Source organism: Homo sapiens, chromosome 9 (assembly GCF_000001405.40).
Source record: "Homo sapiens chromosome 9, GRCh38.p14 Primary Assembly".
Classification (NCBI taxonomy): Eukaryota; Metazoa; Chordata; class Mammalia; order Primates; family Hominidae; genus Homo; species Homo sapiens.
Window position 1 is genome coordinate 12,101,100 of NC_000009.12, and position 16,299 is coordinate 12,117,398.

The window sequence follows — 16,299 nt, forward strand, 5'->3', positions numbered from 1 at the left end:
TATTCTTTTCAACCAAGTTACTAACCATGCATGAGTTCCTAGAACTTAGACACAATCTTATAAAAAGGGAAAATATAAATAAAATGACAGACATAATGTTTCTAACAATCTTACAAGATAGGAATTAAAGGGAAATAATTTGAGTTTATAAAATGCGATTACTACTCACTACAGAAAACTTCCAATCATTTATATTTGTAATGGGCTTTAAAAGTTATAAACATCTTTCATACAAATTATGTAAATAAATATAAACAATAGGCTAATTTAACTGGGGGAAACTGAAACTCAAATTTGCCCAGGGTCTGATGGCTTGTATTACAAGAACTATGCTATGTTAGTCCATTTTCATATTACAAAACCAATCACACCTTCCCAACAGTCTCCCAAAGTCTTAACTGATTTTAGCATTAACTCAAAAGTCCGAATCCAAAGTCCCATCTGAGACAAGACAAGTCCCTGCCAACTATGAACCTGTAAAATCAAAAACAAGTTAGTTACTTCCAAGATATAATGGAGATACAGGCACTGGGCAAATGTTTCTGCTCAACATGGGAGTAACTGGCCAAGACAAGGGGGCTACAAGCCCATGCAAGCCTGAAAGCCAGGCAGAAAGTCATTAAATCTTAAAGCTCCAAAATCTCTTTTGATGCCCTGGGCTCAAATCCAAGGCATGCTGATGCAAGGGGTGGGCTCCCACAGCCTTGGGAAGCAGTGCCCCTGTGGCTCCACTGGGTACAGGCCCTGCAGCTGCTTTCTCAGGCTGGAATTAAGTACCTGCAGCTTTTCCAGGCACATGATGCAAGCTGTCAGTGGATCTGCCTTTCTGATGGTGGCCCTATTCTCACAGGTCCACTAGGCAGTGTCTCAATGGGGACTCTGTGTGGGGCCTCAAATCCCACATTTCCCTTCCACATTGCCCTAGTAGAAGTTCTTCATGAGGGCTCCATCCCTGCAGCAGACTTATGCCTGGACATCCAGGTATTTCCATACATTCTTTGAAATCTAGGCAGAGGCTCCCCAGCCTCAACTCTGGTATTCTATGCACCCATAGGTCCAACATCACATGGAAGCCACCAAGGCTTGGGACTTGCACCCAATGAAACAAGAGCATGAGCTGTACATTGGTACCTTTTAGACAGGGCTGGAGCTGGGGTGGCTGGGATGCAGGGCATGAAACCCCAGAGCTGCAGAGACTAGCAGGGCTCTGGGTCAAGCTCATGAAAATATTTTTCCCCTCCTACGCCTCTGAGTCTGTGATGGGAAGGGCTGCCTTGAAGATCTCTAACATGCCCTGGAGACATTTTTCCCCATTTTCTTGGCTATTAGCATTCAGCTCTTGGTTATTTATGCAAATTTCTGCAGGATTGAATTTCTGCCCAGAAAATGTTCTTTTTTTTTTTTTTCTATCACATGGTCAGACTGAAAATTTTCCAAACCTTTATGCTCTGCTTTCCTTGTAAACATAAGTTCAAATTCCAAACCAACACTTTCTAAATGCACATAACTGAATGCTTTGAGAAGAAGCCAGGTCTCACCTTCAGTGCTTTGCTGCCTAGAAATTTCTGCTGGCAGATACCCTAAATCATCTCCCTCAAGTTAAAAGTGCCGCAGATCTCTAGGAAAGGGGAAAAATGCCACCAGTCTCTTTGCAAAAGCATAGCAAGAGTGACCTTTGCTCCAGTTTCCAATAACTTTCTCATCTCCATCTAGACTACCTCAGTCTAGACTTCATTGTCCATATCACTATCAGCATTTTAATTAAAACCATTCAATAACTCTCTAGGAAGTTCCAAACTTTCCTAAATCTTTCTGTCTTCTTTTGCACCCTCTAAGCTGTTCAAACCTCCGCCTGTTACTCAGTTCCAAAGTCACTTCCACATTTTCAGGTATCTTTATAGAAGTACCCCACTATCCCAGCACCAATTGTCTGTATTAGTTCATTTACACACTGCTACAAAGACAATAAGTGAGACTTGGTAATTTACAAAGGAAAGAATTTTAATTAACTCACAGCTCCATATCCCTGGAATGGCCTCAGGAAACTTACAATAGTGGCAGAAGCCAAAGGGGAAGTAGTCTCCTTCTTCACAAGATGTCAGGAGAGAGGGAGAGCAAGCAAAGTGGAAATGATATTTTTAAATCATCAGATCTCATGAGAACTCACTATCATGAGTACATCATGGGGGAACCCACTTCCATTCACCTCCCACCAGATCCCTCCCTTGACTAATGGAGATTACAATTGGAGATGAGATTTGGGTGGGGACACAGAGCAAATCATATCATATGCCAAGAATCTAAATGTTCTAATTTTAAGGTTACTATACAAGTTAAACAAATATTAAACATTAGGACACACACCTAAGGAATGATTTGAAGTCTTTCATTTCTTAGATATTTTTAATTTATAAGTTTCATCTATCATTAATAATTTAATATAGTACTACATACTATCACAAAAATAGAATTTTTTGATCCCCTTTAAATATCTTGCAAATTATCATGCTAAAACAAGAATGGTGAAGAAAAAATGTTGTACAAAAATTCTGTGTCTGATTCAAATAGAGCTTTTAAATGCCATTAATCTTGGCTGTTATGTTTTGCTTTCTGTTTTTCTTATAATATGCCACATTTGCATATTGTACCTTTTAATATGTTATTTTTATTTTAGTTTTTACTCTCTGCAAAATTATTTCCAAAATTATAATGCAAAGAAAAAAATTGGTGGATAGGAGTCAGGACTAACTTGTAGCTCCCACTCGAATGAACAGAGCAATGTGTGGAGACTCACATTGTTAAATTTTGCTCCAAGAACTACCACAGGAACATAACAAGAAAGCCGAGACAATCCACAGACCCTTTGAAGGAGGTGGATTGCAGATGTAGACTCTGTGGAACAGCTGACGAAGTGCGACTCTGCTTGCTTTCTCATCGGGTGGCTTATAGCCTGGAGCTAGATCTCAGCTCTGCTCACCAGCTGCCTGGAAATATACTTGGTACTGTTGTGGGGGCGCAGTGAGAGTGAGACTGATCTTTTGGGCTGCGAGCTGCATGAGAGCTAGGTGAGGCCTGTGGCTGCCAGCTTTCCCCCATTTTTCTTGCAACCTGTGTGACACAGCAGAGGCAGCCATAATCTCCCTGGGAACATAACTCTATTGGCCTTGGAGACACACCTCCAACCCCATAGCAGCTGCAACAAGCCCTGCCCAAGGAGAGTCTGAGCTCACACATGCCTATACCTGCACCCACCTGATGGTCTTACTCTACCTGCCCTGGTAGCTGAAGACAAAGGACATAATCTCTTGGGAGCTCTATGACCCCACCCACTGCTTGATCCAGGGGCAAGCTTGTATCCTTCCTATACTACTGCAGCTGATGCAGTCTTGAAAGCACAACCTCCTGGCTGGAGTCCAACCAACACAAAACCAGCACACTTAACACAAATACAACCAAGGACCCTCACAGAGTTCACTTCACTCCCCTGCTATCTTCACTGGAGCAGTTGCTGATATCTATGGCTGAGAGACCTGAAGACAGATCACGTTACAGGACTCTTTGCAGACACTCCGCAGTGCCATCCCAGAGCCTGGTAGCTACATTGGGTGGCTAGATCCAGAAGAGAAATAACGATCACTTCAGTTTGGCTCTCAAGAAACCCTATCCCTAGGGAAAAGGGAAGAGCAACAAATCAAGGGAGCACCTTGTGGGACAAAAGAATCTAAACAGGAGGCCTTGAGTCCCAGATCTTTCCTCTGACATAGCCTACCCAAATGGGAAGGAACCAGAAAAACAATTCTGGCAATATGACAAAACAAGTTTTTTTAACATCTCCAAGAGATAACATTAGCTCACCAGCAATGGATTCAAAAAAAGATAAAAATCCCTGAATTGGCAGAAAAAGAATTCAGAAGGTCGATTATTAAGCTACTCAAGAAGGCACCAGAGAAAGGTGACTTCCAACTTAAAGAAATAAAAAAAAAGGTACAGAACACAAATAGAAAAAATCTCCAGTGAAATCGACAGCATAAATAAAAAGAAATAACAACTTCTGGAAATGAAGGACACACTGAGGAAAATGCAAAACGCACTGGAAAATCTCAGCAATAGAATCAAACAAGTAGAAGAAAGAACTTCAGAGCTCCATGACAAGACTTTCAAATTAACACAATCCAACAAAGACAAAGAAAGAAGAAAAAAAAAAAAAAAAACAAAACAAAAAATGAACAACGCTCCAGGAAGTTTTGGACTATGTTAAGTGTTCAAACCTAAGAATAATGTGTATTCCTGAAGGAAAAAGAGAGGTTTGAAAGTTTGGAAAATATATTTGAGAAAATAATTGAGGAAAACAAGACTAGCCTTGCTAGAAATCTAGACATCCATTTACAAGAAGCCCAAAGAACATCTGGGAAATTTATTGCAAAAAGATCATCACCTAGGCACATAGTCTTGAGGTTATTTAAAGTCAAGATGAAGAAAGGAATCTTAAGAGCTCTGAGGAAAAAGTATCAGGTTACCTATAAAGGAAAACCTATCAGATTAATGGCAGATTTCTCCACAGACACCCTAAAGCTAGAAGGGACAGGGGTCCCATCTTTAGTCTCTTTAAACAAAACAATTATTAGCCAAGAATTTTGTATCCAGTGAAACAAAGCTTCATAAATGAAGGCAAGATACAGACTTTTGGCCAGGCACGGTAGCTCACGCCTGTAATCTCAGCATTTTGGGAGGCCAAGGTGGGCAGATCATGAGGTCAGGAGATCGAGACCATCCTGGCTAACACGGTGAAACCCCGTCTCTACTAAAAATACAAAAAATTAGCCGGGTGTGGTGGCGCACACCTGTAGTCCCAGCTACTTGGGAGGCTGAGGCAGGAGAATGGCATGAATCTGGGAGGCGAAGCTTGCAGTGAGCCGAGATCGCACCACTGCACTCCAGCCTGGGTGACAGACTGAGACTCTGTCTCAAAAAAAAAAAAAAGATACAGACTTTTTCAGGCAAACGAATGTTGAGGTAATTTGCCACTACCAACCTAGCACTACAAGAACTACTAAAATGAGCTCTAAATCTTGAAACAAATAATTGAAATATACCAAGATAGAATCTCCTTAAAGTATAAATCTCACAGGACCTATAAAACAATAATACAATGAAAAAAAAAGACAAGGTATTTAGATAACAAATAGCATAATAAATAGAATAGTACTTCACATCTAAATACTAGTATTAAATGTAAATGGCATAAGTGCTCACTTAAAAGGTACAAAATAGCAGAATGGATGAGAATTCGACAACCAAGTGAATACTGTCTTCAGGAGACTCACCTGACACATAAGGAATCACATAAACTTAAGGTAAAGGGGTGAAAAATATATTTCATGCAAATGGACAGGAGTATCTAGTCTCAGACAAAACAAACTTTAAATCAACAGCAGTGAAAAAAGACAGACATTATATAATGATAAAAGAACTAGTCCATTAGGAAAATATCACAATTCTAAATCTATTTGCACCTAAGACTGGAGCTCCCAAATTTATAAATCAATCACTACTAGATCTAAGAAATGAGATACACAGTAACACAATAATAGTGGGTAACTTCAATACTCCACTGACAGCATTGGGCAGTCATCAAGACAGAAAGTCAACAAAGAAACAATGGACTTAAACTATACCCTGGAACAAATGGAGTTAACAGATATTTACAGAGCATTCTGCCCAACAACTGCAGAATATATATTCTATTCAACAGCACATGGAATATTTTGCAAGACAGACCATATGATAGGTCACAGAACAAGTCTCAACCAAGGTAAGAAAAACAAAATTATAGCAATTTCTCTCTCAGACCACAGTGGAATAAAATTGAAAATCAATTCCAAAAGAAAACCTCAACAACATGCAAATACATGGAAATTAAATAACCTGCTCCTGAATGATCAGTGAGTCAACAATCATATCAAGATGAAAATTTGGCCGGGCGCGGTGGCTCACGCCTGTAATCCCAGCACTTTGGGAGGCCGAGGCAGGCGGATCACGAGGTCAGGAGATCGAGACCATCCCGGCTAAAACGGTGAAACCCCGTCTCTACTAAAAATACAAAAAATTAGCCGGGCGTAGTGGCGGGCGCCTGTAGTCCCAGCTACTTGGGAGGCTGAGGCAGGAGAATGGCGTGAACCCGGGAGGCGGAGCTTGCAGTGAGCCGAGATCCCGCCACTGCACTCCAGCCTGGGTGACAGAGCGAGACTCCGTCTCAAAAAAAAAAAAAAAAAAAAAAAGATGAAAATTTAAAAATTCTTTGAACTGAACAATAATAGTGACATAGCCTATCAAAACCTCTGAGATACAGCAAAAGTGCTGAGAAGAACATCTGTAGCATTAACTGCCTAAATCAAAAAGTCTGAAAGAGCACAAATAGACAATCTAAGCTCATACCTCGAGGAACTGGAGAAACAGGAAAAAAACAAACCAAAATCCACCAAAAGAAAAATAATCAAGACCAGATCAGAGCTAAATGAAATTGAAACAACAAAAATAAACCAATACGAAAGATAAATGAAACAAAATCTTGTTCTTTGGAAATACATATACAATTGCTAGAGCATTAGTGAGATTAATCAAGAAGAGAAGAGAGAAGCTCTAAATACACTCAATTAGAAATGAAGTTGAAAATATTACAAGCAGCACCACGGAAATACAAAAGATCACTCTTAGCTACTATGAACACCTTTATGGCATAAACTAGAAAACCTACAGGAGATGGATGCATTCTTGGAAATAAAAACTATGCAGATCAAACCAGGACAAAATAGAAACTCTGAGCAGACCAATAACAAGCAGCAAGATTGAAATGATAATTAAAAAGTTACAACAAAAGGCCAGGAATAGATGGATTCACAGTTGAATTCTATCAGACATTCAAAGAAGAATTGGTACCAATACTATTGACACTATTCCACAAGAAGAGAAAGAAAGAATCCTACCTAAATTTTATCACCCCCATACCAAAACCAGGAAAGGACATAACAGCAATTAAAAAAAACTACAGACCAATATTCCTGATGAACATAGATGCAAAAATCCTCAGCAAAATACTAGCTAATGAAATCCAACAGCATATTAAAAAGATAATCTACCATAATTGAGAGAGTGTCATACTAGGGATGCAAGGATGGTTTAATATCTGCAAGTTAATAAATGTGATACACTACATAAACTAAATTAAAAACAAAAATCACACGATCATCTCAATAGACACAGAAAAACAACTTGACCAAAATCCAGCATCCCTTTATCATCAAAACCCTCAGCAAAATCGGCATAGAAGGGACATACCTTAATGTAATAAAAGCCATCTATGACCAACCCACAGGCAATCTCATACTGAATGAGGAAAAGTTGAACACATTCCCCCCCAATAACTGGAACAAAACAAAGATGACCACTGTTACTACTGCTATTCAATATAGTACTGGAAGTCCTAGCCAGAGCAATCAGACAAGAGAAAGAAATAAAGAGCAAATCAGTAAAGAGAAAGTCAAACTGTTGCTGTTTGAAAAGGACATGATCATACCTAGAAAACCCTAAAGATTCATTTAAGAAGCTCCTAAAAGTGATAAATGAATTCAGCAGTTTCAGGATACAAAATTAATGACCAAGCTGAGAATCAAATCAACAACTCAACCCCTTTTTACAATAACTGTAAAAATAAGAAATAAAATAGTTTGGAATATACCTAACCAAGGAGGTGAAATAGCACTACAAAGAAATCTATAAAACACTGCTGACAGAAATCACAGATGACAAATACAAATAAGAACACATCCCATGCTTGTTGATGGGTAGAATCAATATTGTGAAAATGACCATATACTGCCAAAAGCAGTCTACAAATTCAATGCAATCTCCATCAAAAGACCACCATCATTCTTCACAGAACTAGAAAAAAGATCCTAAAAATCATATGGAAACAAAAAAGAGCCTGCATAGCCAAAGCAAGACTAAGCAAAAAGAACAAATCTGGAGGCATCACATTATCCAACATCAAACTATGCTATAAAGCCATAGTCACCAAAACACCATGGTACTGACATAAAAATAGGTATATAGACCAATGGAACAGAATAGAGAACCCAGAATAAAGCCAAATACTTACAGCCAACTGATGTTGGACAAAGAAAACAAAAACATAAAGTGAAGAAAGGATATCCTGTTCAACAAAAGGTGCTGGGAAAATCGGCAAGCCACATGTAGAAGAATGAAACTGGGTCCTCTTTCCTCACCTTATACAAAATCAACTCAAAAGGGATCAAAGACTTAAATCTGAGTCCTGAAATCATAAAAGTTCTAGAAGATAGAATGGAAAAACCCTTCTAGACATTGGCTTAAGCAAAGACTCATTACTAACAACTTAAAAGCAAATGCAACAAAAAGGAAGATAAATAAATGTGACTTAATTAAGCTAAAAAGCTTATGCACAACAAAAAAAAAATCATCAAACAGACTAGCCGTAGAATGAGAGAAAATCTTCACAATCTATACATCCAACTAAGGACTAACATCCAGAATCTACAAGGAAATCATGCACATCAGCAAGAAAAAAAAAATCCCATTAAAAACTGGGCTAAGGACATAAATAGACAATTCTCAAAAGGAGATATACAAATGGCTAACAAACATGAAAAAAATGCTCAACATCACTAATTATCAAGGAAATGCAAGTCAAAACCACCATACAATGTCACCTTACTCCTGCAAGAATGGCCATAATCAAACAATTTAAAAAAAAAATTGATGTTGGCGTGGATGTGGTGAAAAGAGAACACTTTTACACTGTTGATGGGAATGTAAACTAGTAAAACCACTATGAAAAGCAGTGTGGAGATTCCTGAAAGAACTAAAAGTAGACCTACCATTTGATCCAGCAATCCCATTCCTGGGTATCAACCCAGAGGCAAAGAAGTGATTATACAAAAAAGATTCTTGCACACGCATGTTTATAGTAGAAGTATTTCCAGTTGCAAAAATGCAAAACCAGCCCAAATGCCCATCAGTTAATGGGTGGATAAGGAAAATGTGGTATATATAATATATACCAAGGAATACAACCCAGCCATAAAAAGGAACAAAATAATGGCATTCACAGTGATCTAGATGGATTTGGAGACCATTATTCTAAGTGAAGTAACTCAGAGAAATGGAAAACTGAACATTGTGTTTTCCCACTCATACATGGGAGCTAAGCTATGAGGATGCAAAGGCATAAGAATGATACAGTGGGGTTTGAGGTCTCAGGGAAAAGATTGGGAAGGCATTGAGGGATAAAAGACTATACATTGGATACAGTGTACACTGCTTGGGTACAGAAATCGCCACTGAAAACTTATTCTTATATAAATAAATAAAAAACAAAATTATGAAACAAAACTATAACTATTTAGTGAACAATGGAAAAGTTCTGGCTTTTACAGGGAATGATTTAAAGTTGTGTGGCTATCACCATTCTTTTTAATTTGACATTCTAACAAATATTTGGAAAAAAAGTAATCTTTTTCAGTATTACATTAATGACTCCTAATTGTACCTCATGAGTAAAAACTGAATATTTTGCCTATCTTCAGTATCTAGGAGAATAAAACAAATCAGTAAACCATAATACTTCTGCAACTGTATGATTGTTAATTTTTGAGATGTGTTTCATGTAAAATGTCAACCACTGTTATGCAAGTGAGCAAACATAAGTACCTTTAGAATAAATAGAAATAAACTGCTATTGATTGAAACTTGTATGCTTTTACAGAAATTTTCAAAACAGAAATAAAGTGCATATTATAATGAATCACTATGACCTCATTATCCAGTTTCAGCAAAACAACTTTCTGCCTTATTTCATTGCATTCCTCCTTTTTAACACGAAATATTTTAAAGTATATAATAGATAAAATTTAATCAAATCACAAATATTTTCATATATATGCTAACATATAAGGATATTTTCCCATCGTATCAAGATAACTAACACAAACAACAAAATTAAAGGTTATTTCATGTTATAAATTAATATAAAATTTCCATTTTTTGGTCCTAGTTTTATATATAAATTTTTGTTGTTGTTGTGGTTTAGAATTTCGTTCCAAATAAAATTCACTCCTTATGTTTGGCTTATATAATTTTAGTCTTTTTGCATGTTTCCTGCAGTATTAATTTATTAAAAAAATATGCCACTTGTCAGGAGGAATTTTCTAAATTCGGAATTCAGTTAATTATATTTTTACAGTGTCGCTAAGTATGCCTCTCACTTCCCATGTGTCTTGTACGTCAAGTTAAATGTATGATTCATGTTCAATGTTGCAAATAATGTGCTACAAGAAGTATTATCTAATTCATACTGTATTGTATCAAGAACCATATCATGTTTGTTTACCTATTATTTAACAATTTTAATACTGATTGGAGATTCAAGTGCACTAGCCTGATCCACATATTACAACATTTAACATCAGCATCCCACAATGGTTAGCAGCCATTGATGACTTATTAGCATTCGTTGACTGTAGTTCCAAGGTTGAACTTTCCCTCAGTATGTGTTTTGTTACCTTTAAGTATTATTTATATAAAAATGCAGGATAAATATTGATTTTATTTATAAATTAAACCAATATTATACAATATATAAAATAATATATTGTAGTATTACATATACTATTATACATCTGTATATTATAGTATTATGTATTACATATATAAGAGCAAGAAAATTTGATGAGGGATTCAGGAAATGTCATGGAGATAATGTTTATTAGTTTGTCATGTTTTTCTGATAGTTGAAGCCATGTGAGTGACTGAATAAAGACAGAGAAGAGACAAAAGTTAATAAAAGATCACAAAAATATTTCTACTATATTTTGAGTGGGCAATGCAGCAGAAGTTGAGATGTTTAAGGAAATAGCAATGATTTGGGCTTGAAAGACAATAGGAAAACCAGCAAATACTCACTATTTAGAAAGGTAAAGAAGATATTTGCATAAGGAGGAGATTAATAGCATTTCAAAATATAAAATAGGACTAAATTTGACATGAGATAAACATTGTTAATATTTGAAAAATGATGTCAGTACAATAGAGAAGACTACAGTCAAACTTTAAAAGATTGGAAATGTTCGCTGAGAAGTTAGAAGTATTGAATGTAGCTTATTGATTTTCAAAATTTTAAAATAAAAGTAATAAGAGAAACTGGGATAATACTTTCAAAGGGGGTTAGAAAATAAGAATTTAATCTAATTTGTATTATAAAGAAAAAATTTTAAAAAACCTAGAGAGGGAATACATGGTTCTGGAGGAATGAAGAAAAGAGTTAGTATAAATTGAGGTTGGCATGAAAATCAGAGGAATATAGATTAAGGAAAATGATGAACAACTAGAATATGCCACACTACATGTTAAATGTAGAAGAACATGAATTAGCCACAACTATGTATTCATTGAGCATAGAAGGTGTCCACAGTCTAGGTGATCAACAGAGTCAAATACAATTGTTTTATTTTATTTCTTCTCCTCAAACTCCTCCTTCTTTTCTTTTTTCACTATAACTAAGATTTGGAGGGGCTTAATTAAGCAACTATTAATCTCAGAAGCATACTAGGTCAGTGAGATCAAACTGTAAGTACTATAATATTAAAATTAATAGATTGTGTGTAGTGTCTACCAGTGTCAAATACATGAATGTTTATGGCTATATGTTTTTACCCACAGAACACTGACACTAAAACTGTGTTTTTTTCCCATACCAATACCCAGTTTTCTAACTTGCTGGACAGTGATTATAGGTTCAAGGATTTATTTCAATTCTGACACTAACTACCTGGAGTGAGTATTGGACCCCACAGATTATGAACTCACTCTTGCAAGATTGCCCCCATTTTAGAGACCAATCACCAGTCTCAGGCTTTGCTTACTTCTGACTGACCAAATATACATTGGGACTTCCCATGACCCCTTCTTTGGGTTTGAAAATTTGCTAAAAGAGTTCACAGAACTCAGGGAAAACCATTTGCTATTACCATTTTATTATAAAGGATACTGCTTAGGAACTGCCAAACGGAAGACATGCATAGGGCAAGGTATGGGGGAAGAGCAAGGGAGTTTACATGCCCTCTCTGGGAGCACCACCTTCACTAAACAAACTTTTATTTACTGATTGCTTGAAACTGAGCTAGGTAATATAGCCAATAGAGAGAAGAATAAAATATGCTCCATGCCTTAGAGAAGTTCACAGAGTGGTAGAGTGTACTAGGATACATTATTTTTGGAAGCTTTCATCCCCCAGGTGTACATGGCTACTTGTATAATTTATTTTCTGCGCCAGTGTTTTACAATTAATCATAAAAATATCATGTAGGGGACAACATTCGTGAGGCCATAGTATAATCAGTCATGGCTTAGAATCTCCTGGGCTGAGTAAATACATGTGAGAGTGACAAGGAAATTGCAAAGGTCGGGTTGAAAAATATAAGAAGGGCTAGAAAATTTTCAGATAACAGATTGCAGGCAAACTGATTCCCTTGCTCTGCAATGACCAGACAGGAGCTAAGTCACTGGAGGATATTATGTCTGTGACTTTCAGAAGCTAAATATTGAAGACATAACCAATTTGCCTAGTTAGGAGAGTTTGGTAGCTGCAATGGTGAGTCTCCAGTGACAAGCAACGAAGAGGCACATTCCAATTTATCTGTGATTGCTGTTTCACACTGTTTCTTGAAGGGGCCAAAATACTGGACACATCTGACTGGAGGAGTTTCCCATTCTTAAAATCAAGGAGTGGGGGTAGATATTAAGAGGTTCTATTATGAGACCTTTTTCAGCACTGCACCCCCATAACAGTTTTCTGCTTTAGGAAGCCAAGTGGCCAGAATATTCAATTTGATCAACTTCAAAAAATTACTGAGAAAAGAAAATATCAGAGGAAATAATAAGATTACTAACCTTTTTTATGGTGATGACAGAGGTGGTACAAATATTAAGTACTATTGTCTAAAGTGAATGGCACTGTATTATAAGATTATTTCCTGATTTATAAGAGGTGAAAGAAAGAATAATCAATGATGCCTTGGGATGACTATCCTGTTTCCCATTTCTTCCAATTTTTCCTCACTTCTGCTTAGTCAAAATTGTATACCAATACATCCATGAACGTTCTCCCAATGAGTTTACCTGGAAACATGCTATCACCTAAGTCTAAGTTTGTATATTTTGTACTTTCTTATTTAAAACATTAACCATATTTGACTGCATATTAGAGAAATGTTAATATTTTTATCAAAAAAAGAAGACAAAGAGCTAAAAACAACGGCCCTATAATTCCTTCATTATTAATTTTCCAATTGTGATTCACCATGGACCTTCATTTTGCTTACCTATGCAATGGACTTTTATTTCCCTTGGTGTGTTTCTTGAGGAAAATTACTAGCATTTATTCATCACAACCCAGACAGAAATATTTCACACATAATTCAAAATAGTCTGACACATATCAAGGTATAACAAATGTTAATTTTTCTCTCTGCCTTCAGACACCCAGCTAGTAAACTCATTCCTTCTAATATGATGATGATATGTTCACTAATAATGCCCAGAGAATGAATTCATACATAAATGTGGCATCCAGTTTCTTAAATGCAGTAATTTAAAAACTGACTTTTAGGGAAAGCTAAGGTTTGTTGTGCAGAAGTACATCAGAGATCACTGTGGAGGGCAGAGATGGATGAGGTTTGGTGTGGAAACAGAGAAATAAGCAGAATACTCTTCATGTTAACTTCAACCAGTGCAGCTCGACATTTGAAATGCTTTGATTTGGCCCTACCTAATGTTTCAGTAAAAAAAAAAAAAAACTCAGCTGATAAAAATAACAAAAGTAATATCTGATCGACCGCAGTTATAATCCTGGCTCTGTCACTTGGGAGTTGTTATGCTCTATCTTGTCTTGTGAGGGTCAGATGATTTAGGCTGTCTTTCTTCATGCATATCCCATGGATTACTCCTACTCTTTTCAAGAAAATTCCTGGTCCTAAGGTTGACCAATTGAAGATTAAAAATACTCATTTGCACTTTTGCATCATTATACTTGGTGGTGGTGTGGGCAAGAGAATAATCAGATGAAGCTAATTTCAGATTTTCTTGATGTCTTGTGGAACATCATTTTAACTGGTACACTAATGCTGAAGTTCATTTCATGAACTCCAAGTCTCATTTCCTCTATGATTTTTTTAGTTAACAGATTTTTTCCCTATGACACAACTATCAAATCAGGTTCTCAGAATCTCCCTACTCAAGGAATATTTTATTACTTATTTGACTACTAGAAGTAAAAGCTAGGTTCTGTATTCACAAACATAGGTTTTGGAAAAGCGCCATAACATCACTTTCATTGATGGTGCAGTGGTATGAAGCCATCTTTGTGTTAAGCACAGCAAATGTTTGATTTTATGTGAAAAGTGCTAAATTGAGACAAATTCATGATTTTGACATCGAACCAGAAAAAAATTTCCATTTTGTATAAGTGAGTTTCAACTTGTAAGCCTAATGGCATGTATATTTCTTTATGTCAGTTTGATTGTGTGTGTTAAATCTAAACCTAAACTTTCCATCTGAAATGCAGGCAAAAAATAAAATAAATAACCTTGTTTTTATTTAACTAATGGGAAAAATCTGAGCTTAAAGAAATATATAAATGACTATTTTTTATATTCAGAATTAATGCAATATTTACTATTTCAGCTTTAAAACATTTTGGTATTAAGTCCTATGCTTAACGTAGGCCATAGTAGTTCTTATGAATACTCTAAATGCAGAGGAAATAGTCATGGTGTTCAAATAATGCTATTACAACAAGAAGTTATAGTAAATCTGTTAAATGAAAACTCATCTCTATTGTACTGTGATAGAAATGGAATTATAATGAAATTCTATAAATTATAGATAGAAATATTATGACAGACCCATTAAGAAAGTTATTTTAAATATACAAAAATATAATAACAATGTTACAAGTTATATTTCTTCCAAGAATAAAGCAAAAATATCAATTATTTCTAATAGAAATAAGTCATATATCAGGTATATGTCATTATCAAATTCATGTTACTTGCTCATATGTTATTTCAACATTATCTTTCAATTATCCTAGTTCCTTTTCATAATAATCTTGAACTGAATTAACTAAATTGTAAAATGGTTTGAATTTCATAATGTCTTTTGGCAGACCTCATTGATTTTCCAAGTTACATGGTCATTAATTGCCAGTAATACCTTCCAATCCAGGTAAAATTGATTATAGTTTAAGCTATTTTCTGTATTGTTTAAGAAACCACTGGTTCCAGTCTAGAGGTGTGACATTATTAATTTTGTTCTGCTACTCTCCAGACAATTAATAATCAGTTTCACTGCTGCTTTTTCTAATTTTTGCTGTAAGAAAGACAAAAATGTTGCTTTGTGTGACAGAGAAATATACCGCAATTTAGACTTTTTAGTGTTAATGAAAAACTTTTGTTTATGACTTTGTGTTTTTAAAATTCAAAAATAAGGATCATGAAGTTTTAAATCTGTTTTAAAATCAATTATGTAGGATGTGCCAAGTGCCCTTTCATTCTGGGCACATGTTTATTACACCTTTATTGATTACATCTGTTAGAATTGTCTATAAACCAAGGATGTGCTACAGGCTTACCTTCACATTTGACCTGGTGGATCTGGTAAACGTAAAGTCAGTTTCCTGCAAGACAGAAAAGACAAAGCCTATTTATTCCTGTTCTCTGTTTCAATTGAATTGAGAATAACTTTAAGTTTGAACATGCTTAACTATGTCATGTTTTTTTAAGGCTTTAAAGACTTTATGAAAGCAAATGGTATATTGTCTTCATTTCACTTTGAAAGTCCACCCCGGCATTGCTGTTCAAAGTAATATTATTGATATTTATGAATTGCTAAATGATGAAAGAGCACAATAATACGTTATCCTTAATTTCACTCCTTCATTCTACCTTAATGACATAAACCATAACTTGTATAAAAGTAGGTAAAAATAAGAGAACCTCAAAGTTCATTTGAGAGAGAGAGAGAGAAAGAAAGAGAATATCATGCTGTCCCCTGCAGCTAGGACATAAATTCAAAACATATGCTTCCTCTGTTGCACCTAATGGATTTCATTATAATTCCCTTCAACAAATATTTATTGTCTGGTTTCTCAAATTCAATCAATTGATACTTAACACAGAGTTTAATTGTATTTTCCACCACCATGTACCT

General features: G+C 35.8%; 1 long non-coding RNA gene across 1 annotated transcript in view; it reads right to left on the bottom strand.

The window, feature by feature from the left end:
- Positions 1-16,299, bottom strand: part of LOC105375976 (uncharacterized) — a 60,514-nt gene that overhangs the window by 2,442 nt on the left and 41,773 nt on the right. Inside the window, exon 3 of the long non-coding RNA NR_188496.1 lies at positions 15,722-15,766. This is a non-coding gene — a long non-coding RNA (uncharacterized LOC105375976). The remainder of the gene's footprint in view (positions 1-15,721; positions 15,767-16,299) is intronic.